This window comes from Homo sapiens, chromosome 14, assembly GCF_000001405.40.
Source record: "Homo sapiens chromosome 14, GRCh38.p14 Primary Assembly".
In the NCBI taxonomy this organism is placed as follows: Eukaryota; Metazoa; Chordata; class Mammalia; order Primates; family Hominidae; genus Homo; species Homo sapiens.
Window position 1 is genome coordinate 21,072,775 of NC_000014.9, and position 15,131 is coordinate 21,087,905.

At 53.2% G+C, this 15,131-nt stretch overlaps 1 protein-coding gene across 8 annotated transcripts in view, besides 5 other annotated features; it reads left to right on the forward strand.

Annotated features, from left to right (window-relative positions):
* ARHGEF40 (Rho guanine nucleotide exchange factor 40) overlaps window positions 1-15,131 on the forward strand; it is a 28,985-nt gene that overhangs the window by 11,511 nt on the left and 2,343 nt on the right. For 3 of the 8 annotated variants that reach the window (XM_017021434.3, XM_011536937.4, NM_018071.5), the window contains 20 exons: window positions 271-468; window positions 1,158-2,406; window positions 2,558-2,725; window positions 2,871-2,991; window positions 3,586-3,682; window positions 3,789-3,869; window positions 4,000-4,116; window positions 5,403-5,498; window positions 5,599-5,714; window positions 6,110-6,236; window positions 7,886-8,008; window positions 8,099-8,242; window positions 8,735-9,345; window positions 9,470-9,704; window positions 10,057-10,143; window positions 11,061-11,276; window positions 11,979-12,149; window positions 12,915-13,092; window positions 14,227-14,331; window positions 14,546-14,689. In XM_017021434.3, the coding sequence (XP_016876923.1) occupies window positions 1,533-2,406; window positions 2,558-2,725; window positions 2,871-2,991; window positions 3,586-3,682; window positions 3,789-3,869; window positions 4,000-4,116; window positions 5,403-5,498; window positions 5,599-5,714; window positions 6,110-6,236; window positions 7,886-8,008; window positions 8,099-8,242; window positions 8,735-9,345; window positions 9,470-9,704; window positions 10,057-10,143; window positions 11,061-11,276; window positions 11,979-12,149; window positions 12,915-13,092; window positions 14,227-14,331; window positions 14,546-14,689 (3,811 nt within the window). In that variant the 5' untranslated portion in view covers window positions 271-468; window positions 1,158-1,532. The other 5 variants (XM_047431564.1, XM_005267844.4, NM_001278529.2 and 2 more) reach the window with 4 other exon arrangements.
* Window positions 9,717-10,916: an enhancer, noted in NCBI's record as "CDK7 strongly-dependent group 2 enhancer chr14:21550650-21551849 (GRCh37/hg19 assembly coordinates)". NCBI's record gives its function as "activates an origin of replication core promoter dependent on BRD2, BRD4, P300/CBP, MED14 and CDK7 cofactors, with strong dependence on CDK7, by STARR-seq in HCT116 cells {active_cell/tissue: HCT116}" and the evidence as "EXISTENCE:reporter gene assay evidence [ECO:0000049][PMID:35650434]".
* Window positions 11,875-13,074: an enhancer, noted in NCBI's record as "BRD4-independent group 4 enhancer chr14:21552808-21554007 (GRCh37/hg19 assembly coordinates)". NCBI's record gives its function as "activates an origin of replication core promoter dependent on BRD2, P300/CBP, MED14 and CDK7 cofactors, and independent of BRD4, by STARR-seq in HCT116 cells {active_cell/tissue: HCT116}" and the evidence as "EXISTENCE:reporter gene assay evidence [ECO:0000049][PMID:35650434]".
* Window positions 14,011-14,555: an enhancer, noted in NCBI's record as "H3K4me1 hESC enhancer chr14:21554944-21555488 (GRCh37/hg19 assembly coordinates)". NCBI's record gives its function as "activates a minimal SCP1, AML or CMV promoter by ChIP-STARR-seq in naive H9 embryonic stem cells {active_cell/tissue: H9 hESC(naive)}" and the evidence as "EXISTENCE:reporter gene assay evidence [ECO:0000049][PMID:30033119]".
* Window positions 14,556-15,098: an enhancer, noted in NCBI's record as "H3K4me1 hESC enhancer chr14:21555489-21556031 (GRCh37/hg19 assembly coordinates)". NCBI's record gives its function as "activates a minimal SCP1, AML or CMV promoter by ChIP-STARR-seq in naive H9 embryonic stem cells {active_cell/tissue: H9 hESC(naive)}" and the evidence as "EXISTENCE:reporter gene assay evidence [ECO:0000049][PMID:30033119]".
* Window positions 14,851-15,000: an enhancer, noted in NCBI's record as "active region_8099". NCBI's record gives its function as "activates an Ori minimal core promoter by ATAC-STARR-seq in GM12878 lymphoblastoid cells {active_cell/tissue: GM12878}" and the evidence as "EXISTENCE:reporter gene assay evidence [ECO:0000049][PMID:35858748]".

The following is a 15,131-nucleotide window of genomic DNA, read 5'->3' on the forward strand; positions in this document are numbered from 1 at the left end:
GATCAGGGGCATTCACAACAAATTCTCCCTGGATCTCCAAAGCCAAGGTCTCAGAGCGGGAGTGTTGAGCGCCCTGCCAGGTTTGTGCACTCTGGCCCAGCCCCACTCCTGTTCTGGGCTCATCAGCCAGCATTTCCTGAGTGCTCACTTTTTGCCCACATTGTACAATCGGGGCTTTGGAGAACACAGCCAACCCCAGACCAGTGCAGCTCCCAAGGAGCCATGATTGGGTGATCTCTAGGGATCTGTAGCCTGGTCCTATCTCTACAGGAGCCTGAGCCAGTGGAGGACTGTGTGCAGAGCACTCTCGCCGCCCTGTATCCACCCTTTGAGGCAACAGCCCCCACCCTGTTGGGCCAGGTGTTCCAGGTGGTGGAGAGGACTTATCGGGAGGACGCACTGAGGTACACGCTGGACTTCCTGGTACCAGCCAAGCACCTGCTTGCCAAGGTCCAGCAGGAAGCCTGTGTGAGTGGCCGTGCATCACTATTCTGCCTTCCCCAAGATCCACTGCCACACTCTACAGACTAGCCAGGCTGACTAATGCCCCCACTAACCTAGAGATACAGCCTCCCTTGAAACCGATCTCTCCAGAATCACTTAAGCTTCATTCTCTGACCTCTCACAAACTTTGACCTTCACAGGCACTGACCATTCAGATGCTAACACACACACACACACACACATTCATCTTCCCCAAATTCATCTTGACCCCAATACTGACCCCCAAAGACCCTAACTCTCCAGACCCAATTCCAGACATCTTCTCCCCCTCATATGAATTTCTCAAGACACTAACTCCCCCGTACATTAGTCAACAGAGATCATTCATTTCTACAGATATAAAGACTCCTAAGAGTCTTTAGCTTCTCCAAGACAATGGCATCTGCTGACCATGTCTTGGTAACGATTCAGTTCTTACCCTCCCACACATGGAACTAGCTTCCTGAAGAATCTTCCTACTACTGGGAGACCGATCAGTCCCAATCCCTTCCTCTCTGCCACCTGAATACCCCAAATCTCCCCTCCTGCTCTCCTGAGAGTATAACCTTCCAGGCATAAGGCTGGTCCTGCCTAGGGTGGGCCCATTCTAACTGCCCTCTCCTGCTGGTTTCTTCAGCAGAGGCCTGAGTGCAGCCTCCCACCTCTCTCCCCAGGCCCAATACAGTGGATTCCTCTTCTTCCATGAGGGGTGGCCGCTCTGCCTGCATGAACAGGTGGTGGTGCAGCTAGCAGCCCTACCCTGGCAACTGCTGCGCCCAGGAGACTTCTATCTGCAGGTGGTGCCCTCAGCTGCCCAAGCACCCCGACTAGCACTCAAGTGTCTGGCCCCTGGGGGTGGGCGGGTGCAGGAGGTTCCTGTGCCCAATGAGGCTTGTGCCTACCTATTCACACCTGAGTGGCTACAAGGCATCAACAAGGACCGGCCAACAGGTCGCCTCAGTACCTGCCTACTGTCTGCGCCCTCTGGGATTCAGCGGCTGCCCTGGGCTGAGCTCATCTGTCCACGATTTGTGCACAAAGAGGGCCTCATGGTTGGACATCAGCCAAGTACACTGCCCCCAGAACTGCCCTCTGGACCTCCAGGGCTTCCCAGCCCTCCACTTCCTGAGGAGGCGCTGGGTACCCGGAGTCCTGGGGATGGGCACAATGCCCCTGTGGAAGGACCTGAGGGCGAGTATGTGGAGCTGTTAGAGGTGACGCTGCCCGTGAGGGGGAGCCCAACAGATGCTGAAGGCTCCCCAGGCCTCTCCAGAGTCCGGACGGTACCCACCCGCAAGGGCGCTGGAGGGAAGGGCCGCCACCGGAGACACCGGGCGTGGATGCACCAGAAGGGCCTGGGGCCTCGGGGCCAGGATGGAGCACGCCCACCCGGCGAGGGGAGCAGCACCGGAGCCTCCCCTGAGTCTCCCCCAGGAGCTGAGGCTGTCCCAGAGGCAGCAGTCTTGGAGGTGTCTGAGCCCCCAGCAGAGGCTGTGGGAGAAGCCTCCGGATCTTGCCCCCTGAGGCCAGGGGAGCTTAGAGGAGGAGGAGGAGGAGGCCAGGGGGCTGAAGGACCACCTGGTACCCCTCGGAGAACAGGCAAAGGAAACAGAAGAAAGAAGCGAGCTGCAGGTCGAGGGGCTCTTAGCCGAGGAGGGGACAGTGCCCCACTGAGCCCTGGGGACAAGGAAGATGCCAGCCACCAAGAAGCCCTTGGCAATCTGCCCTCACCAAGTGAGCACAAGCTTCCAGAATGCCACCTGGTTAAGGAGGAATATGAAGGCTCAGGGAAGCCAGAATCTGAGCCAAAAGAGCTCAAAACAGCAGGCGAGAAAGAGCCTCAGCTCTCTGAAGCCTGTGGGCCTACAGAAGAGGGGGCCGGAGAGAGAGAGCTGGAGGGGCCAGGCCTGCTGTGTATGGCAGGTGAGATGACACGGAGTGAGGCTCATGGGGCAAGGGCCAAAGCAGGTCGGGCCTATGGGAGGGGGCAGGAGGAGGAGCAGGGTTAGGCTGGGAGCAGAACAACCAGAACCATCTTAACTTCAGTCCCATGTTTCTGTCTGTGTCTGTGCAGGACACACAGGCCCAGAAGGCCCCCTGTCTGACACTCCAACACCTCCGCTGGAGACTGTGCAGGAAGGAAAAGGGGACAACATTCCAGAAGAGGCCCTTGCAGTCTCCGTCTCTGATCACCCTGATGTAGCTTGGGACTTGATGGCATCTGGATTCCTCATCCTGACGGGTCAGTGGGCATCAGTGGGTGAAGGGAAACAGGACTGGGAAAGAGAAGCAATTGGGTGGGCTTGGGGACTGGGGGAGGCAGGGTGGAAAGGAGGTAGGCATGGACTGCTCCCAGCCAGGACAGCCTGGCCATTTTGTGTCTTCAGGAGGGGTGGACCAGAGTGGGCGAGCTCTGCTGACCATTACCCCACCGTGCCCTCCTGAGGAGCCCCCACCCTCCCGAGACACGCTGAACACAACTCTTCATTACCTCCACTCACTGCTCAGGTAACCGAGGCCCAGTCCTGGCACCCTGGACACTAACCTCCTGATTCATGAGGACCCTCACCTCCTTCTTCTCAGGACACTGACCTTCTGACCTCTAAGGACACCTACTTCTTCAACCTTCAGACTTCAAGCCATTGACCTTTGGCCTTACTTACCCTGACCTCCAGCTTCATATCTTCACTGATCTTCAAAAGCAACACTGTTGACTTTCACTCTCTTCCAACCCTACCAAGATCATCAGGACATTGGTTCACTGATTCAACAAACATTTATTGAGCACTGAGTACCTATTAGGCACCATACTACAGGCTGATATTGAATGCACGCCATTTCAGAACAGAATTCTTAATTTTCCAGACCTTAATCCCTTGACCTAGTAGCCATATGAATATAGACCCCTGACTGCTAGGTGACTTCCTCTTGTACACACACCCCAGAATTTGGCCCTTTGCCCATTTCTTCCCAAATGTACCGGCAACTAATTTCTCCTCAGGACTATTAACTAAAAACAGACCCCGTATGTCTGCCTTGCCTTATCTGCTATCCCCCAAAACACACACACAGCAGCCTCCTTGGCTCTTCCTGCTCCCGCAGGCCTGATCTACAGACACTGGGGCTGTCCGTCCTGCTGGACCTTCGTCAGGCACCTCCACTGCCTCCAGCACTCATTCCTGCCTTGAGCCAACTTCAGGTAACCACCCCTCAAACAGGCAGTTCCCCTGGATCCTAACTCTTCACCAGTGGCCAGTCCAGGACACCCGATTGCCCAGTTTAGGGTTATTCTTTTCTGCCCTTAGGACTCAGGAGATCCTCCCCTTGTTCAGCGGCTGCTGATTCTCATTCATGATGACCTTCCAACTGAACTCTGTGGATTTCAGGTTTGAGCCCTTCATTCCCATCTAGTTTCCCATCAGTAGTGGGGAGAGGAGAAGAGGCTGGCTGGAGCCCCAGGCTGGTTTCTGAGTCCTTGGGTGCCCAGGAAGAAACCCCCTGCCTTACCCTCTACAGGGTGCTGAGGTGCTGTCAGAGAATGATCTGAAAAGAGTGGCCAAGCCAGAGGAGCTGCAGTGGGAGTTAGGAGGTCACAGGGACCCCTCTCCCAGTCACTGGGTAGAGATACACCAGGTAAGCTTCCCCTCTACCACCTAGCATGCTGGGAGCCAGGAATAACCCAGCTGAAGACATTCTAGGAGAGAGGCCATGTCCAGGACATACCATGAGGTTGCAAAAAAGTGGTTTCCATTCCATTCAATTCAACAAGTATTTATGGCTCCCAAATCATGAGGAAAACATGTGCACTGTGCCATGTTCTACTGGGGAGATAGGAGGAGTATGATAAATTATTATAATTATTATTTTTAGACAGTCTCACTCTGTCACCCAGGCTGGAGTGCAATGCTTCGATCACAGCTTACTGCAGCCTCGACCCTCTGGACTCAGGCGATCCTCCCATGTCAACCTCTTGAGTAGCTGTGGCTACAGGCATGTGCCACCACACCCACCTAGTTTTTGTATTTTTTTTTTTTTTTTTTTTGTAGAGACGGGGTTTTGCCATGTTGCCCAGGCTGGTCTCAAACTCCTGGACTCCAGTGATCCACCCGTCTCAGCCTCCCGAAGTGCTAAGATTACAGGCATGAGTGACTATGCCCAGCCAAATAAATTCTTAATATGACATTAAGTAGTGTATGATTTTTGGTGGGAGATAAATCATGAAACAAGTAGAGAAGAGTGCAAGATAGTGTCATTGGGTTTCTGGAAAGCACTGAGAGTCAAAAGGCTGGTTCTTGTTCCAAATTACTTTACCTCACTTGCAGAAATAGTGCCCTTTCTGTATCCGCTCCTTGCACCAACATCCAGGCCTCAGGATCCTCATCAGCGCAGTATAACAATCACAATATAATTGCTAAAGGTCCTTCCAGCACTTATCTCATGTAATTCTATGAATATAAGTGTTGTGAGTATTCAAGAAGAGAGAAATAAACATGATCTGAGCTGAGTATGAAAGAGGGGTCTGTAGATGGTCTCTAAGCTTCGCCTTTAGTGTCAAAGGGGAAATTGACATGAATAGGCAGAGAGAGGGGGTGTGACAGGGGGAAGCCCCACTGAAGACAGACAGGAAGGTCACAGTTACCAAGCTGTACAATGTGCCAGGCCCACGTTAGTTGCTAAACTGGCATCATCTCCTTAAAAATCACAGAAGCCTTTCTTATCCTGACTTTACAGTTGAGGAACTGAAGTTCAGGAAGGTTTCTGAACCTGCCCAACCTCATACAATTAGTTAGCAACAAAGTCAGGAACTGAATTCAGCATTGCCTCCATAAAAGTCTCTGGGGCTACCGCACCCCAACCCTAGGGCTTAAGTTCCTTCTTAAACTCTGATCCTCAACTCCATCCCTGCATGTGGGTTTCAGGAAGTGGTAAGGCTATGTCGCCTGTGCCAAGGTGTGCTGGGCTCGGTACGGCAGGCCATTGAGGAGCTGGAGGGAGCAGCAGAGCCAGAGGAAGAGGTATGAAATGAGATGGGACAGTGGGGGGATGGGATTGGGATGGGGCTGGGGTGGAGACTCTCTGGTGGAACCCCAACTGGCAACTCCTCCCTATCCCCAGGAGGCAGTGGGAATGCCCAAGCCACTGCAGAAGGTGCTGGCAGATCCCCGGCTGACGGCACTGCAGAGGGATGGGGGGGCCATCCTGATGAGGCTGCGCTCCACTCCCAGCAGCAAGTACGAAGTATGGGTGTGCGGAGGCAGGTGGAAGTGGGAGGTGGAGACACAGCTGAAGGCTGCCAACAAACCTTAGCTGCCAGACCATTCTTACTGTGCATGTATCTGGGCAAGATACTATGCTTTTACACTTACTGTCTCATAACCCTCACAACATCCTTATGTGCCATTTACTATTACAAATGAGGATTTGGAGGATCAGAAATGTTAACTGTCTTGGCCAACATCGGTCAGTAAAGAGTCAGGATTCAAACCAAAGCAGTCAGGGTTCAGCCCATGCTTTTGATCCATGCTGCTATGCAACCTCTCATGTTTGCATCCCTCAGAGGCACGGAAGGACAGAATTGAGGGGCTCAACAAGGGAAATGATTCATTCTTCTCTGCTCCTTCCCAAGGCTGGAGGGCCAAGGCCCAGCTACACTGTATCAGGAAGTGGACGAGGCCATTCACCAGCTTGTGCGCCTCTCCAACCTGCACGTGCAGCAGCAAGAGCAGCGGCAGTGCCTGCGGCGACTCCAGCAGGTGAGCCAGGATCCCCACGTCCCTCTTACTCAGCCTGGGAGTGTGGCCTCCAGCACCTTTCCCGTTGGTACTTATAGTTGATGGTGTTCTTCTAGCCTGGCTTGGTTGAACGCCCCTCCCTCCTCCTCACATTTGTTGGTCAGTGTGAGATTGAACAAGAGGGTGGGAGCATCATAGCACCAGTAAAGAAAAGCCAGATCTTCCCCTCCCCACTGTTTACACTTGATCGAAAATGCTGAGAGATTGTGAGAGATGCTCAGCTGCCCTAGGGGATTCTGAAGAGCTGATCAACTCTGGAGTGCCTACCACCTTAGCTGAAAAATAATAAAAGTCTATTGATACCAGCTCATTAGTTATACTGCCACACACACACCCTTAACTCCTTATGCGATGTCATCCCTCAGACCTGAGGCCGGAAAGGTCCCACCTCCCTCTCCCTTGGAAGGAGAGAGCATTGAAAGCACCTAAGAGGAACTACAGGCTTCTTTGTGGGGAAGATTCAGGAATAAGGCTGGCTTCTCTGAACCTTGATTCTTCTCTCCTGGGGTTAAGAGCCCCATAGGGATTTGCTCTCCACCCTACCATGTGGGGTAGAGGGGGCTTTGAAATCTGATTGTTCCTCCTTAGCCCCGAGCATGGTGAATGGACACTTCATGGACCTGTACGTGGGCATCAGGGGAAAGGTCACCTCAGGGCCGGTGCAAAAGCGGGGGCCAAGACTTTCTGTTTCCTAGGATTTCTTCATATTGGCTTCCTCTAAGCCAATATCCTAGAGATGGGTTGCATCTCCTCCTGTTTGCTTACCTGCTTGTTAGCTGTTTCCCCAACTGTTTAAAAACAAGATTTGGAGTCTAACGTGCTCAGCTTGAGTTCTAGTTCTGCCATGTGTAAGATGTTGGACAAGTCATGAAGCTCCTCTGAGTTCCCAAGTCCTCATCTATAGAATGCGGATGGTAACAATTAACTCACAACGTGGTCAGAAAGATCAAGTGAATTCAGCAAAGGACTATAAAAGTGGTTATTGTTGGCACTGGCTATTAGGAACAGTCTCAGACTTCTCATCCTCAGGCTGTCCCACCCCCAGCTTCCAGCCTTTCTTCAGAGGAAAATATTACCATCCCGTTCTGGTCAAACATCTCAGAACCAGCATGAGAGTTCATATAGCCTCATATTAGGAAATTAAAGCCGGACACACACACACACACACACACACACACACACACACACACACACACACACCCCTTCTGTACTGTTTCTCCAGGCTTGGTCCCTGGGACCGTTTCTCACCAGTTGCCAAGGCTTGGTGAAGGCCGTCAGTCATCCCTATGACCCTCATCCTGCTTTTGGTTCACCCCAGTTTGATGTACTTCACCCTCGGACATAGCCCTGGAACTTTGACCCACTCCCTCAGTGCTTCCCATCAGCCCAGCTTCCCTCTCATCTGCCTTACCAAAGATTTCTTACTCGGTTTCTCATCTGACCCTTGTGGAAACTATTACCATTCACTGTTGTCATTCCCACATTGCAGATGAGATGCAATAGTTCACTCAAAGTTCTATAGATTGGGGTGGTGGGGCTGATGCTGGATCTCAGCCCTTCCTTGCCTTTCCACTCCATGACCCCCTGCCCTCCCACCCCATCTGCCTCAGGTGTTGCAGTGGCTCTCGGGCCCAGGGGAGGAGCAGCTGGCAAGCTTTGCTATGCCTGGGGACACCTTGTCTGCCCTGCAGGAGACAGAGCTGCGATTCCGTGCTTTCAGCGCTGAGGTCCAGGTGAGAAGGGGCTGGAGGGCAGGTGAGAGGAGGCAGGGGGAGACTACCTAGGAGTGAGGACCAGGTCTGAGCGCAGCCTCCCTTCTCCAGGAGCGCCTGGCCCAGGCACGGGAGGCCCTGGCTCTGGAGGAGAATGCCACCTCCCAGAAGGTGCTGGATATCTTTGAACAGCGGCTGGAGCAGGTTGAGAGTGGCCTCCATCGGGCCCTGCGGCTACAGCGCTTCTTCCAGCAGGTGCATGCAGAGCCTTTTCCTTCTGTGCCCCCCCATTTCCATTTATTCACTTCCTTTCTGCCTGGAGAGGCTAATCAAGTTGTTAAAAGTGGAGGCTGAGGGGCCCATCTCCTAGGTTTTTGCTCTTAGCTCTGCCACCTCCTTGCTGAATGGCATGGGGCAAGATACTAAACCTGACTGTGCCTCCATAGATCTACCTCACAGGGCTGCTGTGGGGATTACACGAGGCAATACATAAAAGCCCTTAGCACAGAGCCTGCCACTCATAAATGTCGTATGAGTACCGGTTATTCTTTTATATAGGCTCTTCCATCTCCATACCAACTCCGAGTGACATGGTTAGGCAGTGATGGTGGAACAGTGAGAAAACAGGAGAGTGACGGGCATTGGGAGGCCACAGGCAAGAGGACAAGGGCTGTCACTGGGCATCCTTCGTGAGCAACACAGGCCCTTACCCTTTCTCTCCCATCCCCAACCCCTTTGACTTCGTAGGCACATGAATGGGTGGATGAGGGCTTTGCTCGGCTGGCAGGAGCTGGGCCGGGTCGGGAGGCTGTGCTGGCTGCACTGGCCCTGCGGCGGGCCCCAGAGCCCAGTGCCGGCACCTTCCAGGAGATGCGGGCCCTGGCCCTGGACCTGGGCAGCCCAGCAGCCCTGCGAGAATGGGGCCGCTGCCAGGCCCGCTGCCAAGAGCTAGAGAGGAGGATCCAGCAACACGTGGGAGAGGAGGCGAGCCCACGGGGCTACCGACGACGGCGGGCAGACGGTGCCAGCAGTGGAGGGGCCCAGTGGGGGCCCCGCAGCCCCTCGCCCAGCCTCAGCTCCTTGCTGCTCCCCAGCAGCCCTGGGCCACGGCCAGCCCCATCCCATTGCTCCCTGGCCCCATGTGGAGAGGACTATGAGGAAGAGGGCCCTGAGCTGGCTCCAGAAGCAGAGGGCAGGCCCCCAAGAGCTGTGCTGATCCGAGGCCTGGAGGTCACCAGCACTGAGGTGGTAGACAGGACGTGCTCACCACGGGAACACGTGCTGCTGGGCCGGGCTAGGGGGCCAGACGGACCCTGGGGAGTAGGCACCCCCCGGATGGAGCGCAAGCGAAGCATCAGGTGAGATCCCAGCCCAACTGGTGCTAAGAGGCGGAGCCAACTGCCCAGTAGGAAAAGAAGATGACATTGTTGGGGGTACTGGCTCCCTCCCACACCTCCTCTGCCACTCCTATTGTGCCTGCAGTGCCCAGCAGCGGCTGGTGTCTGAGCTGATTGCCTGTGAACAAGATTACGTGGCCACCTTGAGTGAGCCAGTGCCACCCCCTGGGCCTGAGCTGACGCCTGAACTTCGGGGCACCTGGGCTGCTGCCCTGAGTGCCCGGGAAAGGCTTCGCAGCTTCCACCGGACACACTTTCTGCGGGAGCTTCAGGGCTGCGCCACCCACCCCCTACGCATTGGGGCCTGCTTCCTTCGCCACGTGAGTGATCCCCTCAACTTCTTCCAAGTGCTCTCCCTTCTCTGTTCCAGCCTCATCCATCTGTCCCTCTTTCTCAGTACCCACGGCCCTCTCCTCCCATGTGTGGTCCATGACCTTGGGGCCCAGCCCTGTTCTGTGGGCACTTCTGCCTCTACTCAGCCTCTGCGCCCTGCTCTCAAGAGCTGCCTGGACTATGCTCTCTCCACAGGGAGCCCTTCCCTCCCTGGTAGGCTGAGTGCTCCCTGGTGACCCATCCCTCATTTGGGCTACAGAGAGGATAGAGAGGGGGAAGAGAGAGGCTTGTCTGCAGCGGCCTCACCGGGGACTCCTTATCTGTTCTTTACTGGCACAGGGGGACCAGTTCAGCCTTTATGCACAGTACGTGAAGCACCGACACAAACTGGAGAATGGTCTGGCTGCGCTCAGTCCCTTAAGCAAGGTAACTTTTTCTCCAACCTTCAGGAGAAAAGTAGAGAGGCCAGAAAGACCTAAAAACCCACCCAACAAATCCCTCAGGGCAAAAAACTGGATATGCCCAGGAACATCACCTACCAATCATCTCCTAGAATTGCCGAGGGTGGGACAAGCACCGGACTGGTGAGGCCAGGTTCTTATCCAGTCCACCTGAGGGACTGGGCAGGACTCCTGTTTCCTCTGGGCCTCTATTTCCACAGCTGGTAAATGGGGGCAATAGTCACTATAGCCAGCTCACAGGGAGGATCTAAGCATCAGAAGAGCTCACATCAAAAGACGTACAAGTGACTAAAAGTTCAAAGGCAGTGGCCGGGCGCGGTGACTCACACCTGTAATCCCAGCACTTTGGGAGGCCGAGGCGGGTGGATCACGAGGTCAGGAGATTGAGACTATCTGGCCAATATAGTGAAACCCCATCTCTACTAGAAATACAAAAAAAAAAAAAAAATTAGCCAGGCGTGGTGGCGGGCACCTGTAGTCCCAGCTACTCGGGAGGCTGAGGCAGAAGAATGGCGTGAACCTGGGAGGCGGAGCTTGCAGTGAGCCGAGATTGTGCCACTGCACTCCAGCCTGGGCGACAGAGCAAGACTCCATCTCAGGGGAAAAGAAGAAAAGAAAAGAAAAGTTCAAAGCCAGAAAGTAAAGGGGATTACTATTTTGATTCTTCTTCCATTTCCCTTCAAGATATAGACAGTGATTGCTGGCCTGCAGGCCCCCACCTGCTTTCTTTCCAGGGAGAATGGTTTTGCCTTACTTTAGGGAGCATCTGGGCTTCATCTATACCCAAAAGCCTAGGGTATCACCCACCTACCCCCCAACCCCTGAGCTTGGCCCCCAGAGGCTCCACCCCTCCCCTCATCCCTGTCTGTGTCCTCAACCTAGGGCTCCATGGAGGCTGGCCCTTACCTGCCCCGAGCCCTGCAGCAGCCTCTGGAACAGCTGACTCGGTATGGGCGGCTCCTGGAGGAGCTCCTGAGGGAAGCTGGGCCTGAGCTCAGTTCTGAGTGCCGGGCCCTTGGGGCTGCTGTACAGCTGCTCCGGGAACAAGAGGCCCGTGGCAGAGACCTGCTGGCCGTGGAGGCGGTGCGTGGCTGTGAGGTGAGGCCCTAGCTCCAGTCACTGCTGCTCAAACTGCCCAGCCCTGGCCTCAGAAGCCGTGTAGGTTGGTGACAGGAGAACCAGGCTCCAGGTCAGAGGGCTCCAGGCTCTAATTTCTAACCAGCTGGGTGGCCTTGATTGAGTCACTGAACTTCACTGGACTTCACTTTCCTCATTTGTAAATAAAGAAGCTATGTCCTCCCAACATCCCATGTTCGTACATCTGCCTTGTACTCTCCTGTTCCTTTCCTAATTGTTATCTTTCCCCATCTACCCCATACTTCCTCCTGCACCTCAACACCCAACACATACCTTGTCTCGTCTACCTAGTCTTTTTCCAGCCCTGAGGTTCCAGAACATGTTGGAATCCTGTATCCTCCTCTGGAATAGACCTATTTCCCTTTCAGTTCTTTGCTGATTCTCTTCCTGGATCCCCAGCATGCAAAGGCTTCCCCACAGGTGGCTATAAACCCTACTATGCAGAGCACCTTGCCGTCTTCAGAGGCAGGGCTGTGCTGCTCAGCTGGGTGCACTGTGCATGGTGACCAGTTGATGGACCCTAGGCTGAGGGCTTCCCTGACTTCCTGACTCTACCTGAGAACCAGTGCATTAGGCCACTTGCCCTATAAATCTATTTTTGCTCCCTGTAAAATACAAACAAAGGGCCCCTGGGCCAACCACTTTTCCTTTTCCTTTCTCCAGATAGATCTGAAGGAGCAGGGACAGCTCTTGCATCGAGACCCCTTCACTGTCATCTGTGGCCGAAAGAAGTGCCTTCGCCATGTCTTTCTCTTCGAGCATCTCCTCCTGTTCAGCAAGCTCAAGGGCCCTGAAGGGGGGTCAGAGATGTTTGTTTACAAGCAGGCCTTTAAGGTACGATTCCTGGAGTGAGTGGTGGAGGTGACAGGAAGTCATTCTCTTCTTGAGAACTCAGGATGTTCTGGAAATTCAGCCCCAACAGAGGTTCAGAATCTGCATCATCTAGAATAGGCTTTGGCTTGTAATCGACTATCGAGTTAGGGTGTCAGGGGATGTTAGAAGTCCCTGTCTTTGGTCTACCTCATGAGGTTTTCCTTATCATTCATGCAGAACACTTAGGAGGCATTCCAAACCAGACTAGAAGAGGGACTTTCCCACTAAGGACACACATGCCTTTGGAATTAGGGGTGGTTCCTAGGGCATGAGGAGAAAGCACACTATACTTTGACTAAAGAATCCAAGAAGAGGGAGGCCTTGCTTTAGGGAAACAGCCTTGATATCCAGATAAGCATTTATAGCAACCTATGGTCCTGGATCAGGCAGTGTGGAATGGATTCTAAGGGTTTCTAGACTTTGTACCCCCTGCACAGAGGGTAAGCATAGAGTATAGCATAGAGGAAAAGGCCTGGATCCAATTCCGGCTCTAATAAGCTGTGAGAAGCCTTTGTGGAAGTTGCTTCATGTTTCTGGCCTCATTTCCCCTTCTGTAAATTATGTTTGTTACGAAGACTAAACGTAGAGCACTTGGCACGTGATAGGTGTTGAGCAAACGTTTACTGAACATCTATCAGATGCCAGGCGAAGCCCAGTGCTTGCCATGTGGCGCCACCCAGCCAGGACTCACTCTGTCTTCACCCGCTGCCCTCTGCTCTTCCTCAGACTGCTGATATGGGGCTGACAGAAAACATCGGGGACAGCGGACTCTGCTTTGAGTTGTGGTTTCGGCGGCGGCGTGCACGAGAGGCATACACTCTGCAGGCAACCTCACCAGAGATCAAACTCAAGTGGACAAGTTCTATTGCCCAGCTGCTGTGGAGACAGGCAGCCCACAACAAGGGTACTGGGCAGAGCTGAGGAAGGGGGTGCTTGGAGTCAGGGTTATAGCAGGAAGTTTTCTGGAGAGTGTGCGAACTGCTTGGGAAAACAGTTTATAGGATGAAGAAAGAATGGCTTATAATAAGATTCAAGATTTGGCTTGAGAGATTACTGAAGTAGAAATGAGCCTAAGATATACCAAAAAGAAAGAGAAAGCTGGCAAATTTCCGGGAAGCAAGAGCAAGTAGGGGCCAGGTGCAGTGGCTCATGCCTGTAATCCCAGCGCATTTTGGGAGGCCAAAGTGGGAGGATTGTTTGAGGCCAGGTGTTCAAGACCAGCCTGGGCACATAGTGAGACCCCGTTTCCACAAAAAATTTTAAAATTAACTGGGCATGGTAGTACGCACCTATAGTCCTAGCTATTTGAGGGGTGAGGTAGGAGGATCGCTTGAGCCCAAACGTTCAAGGCTACAGTGAGCTATGGTGGTGCCACTGTACTTGAGCCTGAGTGACAGAGCAAGACTCTGTCTTTAAAGGATTTTTTTTTTTCAAATTTTTTAATAAAGCAAATGGCTGGGAAAAAAGGTGAGAAACTGCTCGCTTGGATTTAAGAACTGCTGCTACTTGCTGTGTGACCTGGACTAGTTTTTTGTTTGTTAGTTTTATTTTTATTTTTGTTTTTTTGCTGGGCTTTACCTTGGTTTTAATTTTCTGAACTTCATTCTGCTCATCTGAAAAATGAAATACTAATGTCTTCATCTTAGTGTAATAGGGATGATTAGGTAAGGTCAAATATATGGAAGCATCTTGTAAACTGTAAAGGTATGTAAAAATGTGAGGGTTTGTTTTTTGTGTGTGTATGTGCTCTTAATGCCCAAGATGCAGAGTAGAAATTAGGCAGCTGGGATGCCAAACAGCCAGGATGCAACATATTGGAGAGAAGAGCCAGATATCTGAGGAGGAAGTCACACCATCATTGCCATCCATGTTGTGATAGTCAACAGAAGGAGTAAAAAGAGACATCAGAGGAATGAAAGGGAGGAATGAGGATTGGGAAGGAACGAAAAAAAAAAAAAAAGAAAAAAATCAACCATGACATGCTAGGGCTAGAGAGAAGGGCAGGAAGAAGTTGGTAACAAGTGTCCCTATTCCCCAGAGCTCCGAGTGCAGCAGATGGTGTCCATGGGCATTGGGAATAAACCCTTCCTGGACATCAAAGCCCTTGGGGAGCGGACGCTGAGTGCCCTGCTCACTGGAAGAGGTGAGGGCCAGGGTGCTGGGGGGTGGCCCCCAGGAGTGAAGACCTTGACAATGAGGATACAAAGGGGAGGTATGGTGGAAAGTCAGGAAAGGCATCTCGTCCCCAAATCAGTGGGACTGGCTGGGAGGCCCTCTGTGAGACTGAGGGTCATTCCAGGGAGCCAAGAGGGCTTTCCCACACCAGCACCCCACCCCCCACTCCCCACTCTCTGCAGCCGCCCGCACCCGGGCCTCCGTGGCCGTGTCATCCTTTGAGCATGCCGGCCCCTCCCTTCCCGGCCTTTCGCCGGGAGCCTGCTCCCTGCCTGCCCGCGTCGAGGAGGAGGCCTGGGATCTGGACGTCAAGCAAATTTCCCTGGGTGAGGCACCTCTCAAGGGGTGGCTCCCAACAGCTCGGTCATGGTGGTGATGTTCAGGCTGCTTGCTGCTGAGCAATTCCTTTTTCTAGCCAAGAAGCCCAGTTGCCATGACAACTATGTACAGCTTCCCCACCGCTAAAAGAGCCTTCCATCTGGTTGCTAGGGTGATGCTTACAACAGCCTGTTGCTAAGAAGCACTTCCTCTGTACCTCTCTCTCTAGCTCTTCTTGGGTTTCTATGGAAACTGCCTCAGCTTCCTGTTGTACCCTCCTGGTTCACCACGGCAATCCTTATAGTTTCCTGTCGCTTCTTCCCTGGTTGCTCTAATGATGCTGCTGACAATTTCCTGCCTCTTGGTAGGGGGTTCCCTTGCAACTGGATCGCTATGGTGACTCACAGCTTCCTGTTGCTATGGAGCTTTTTCTTCCCTGATGGAGCAGCT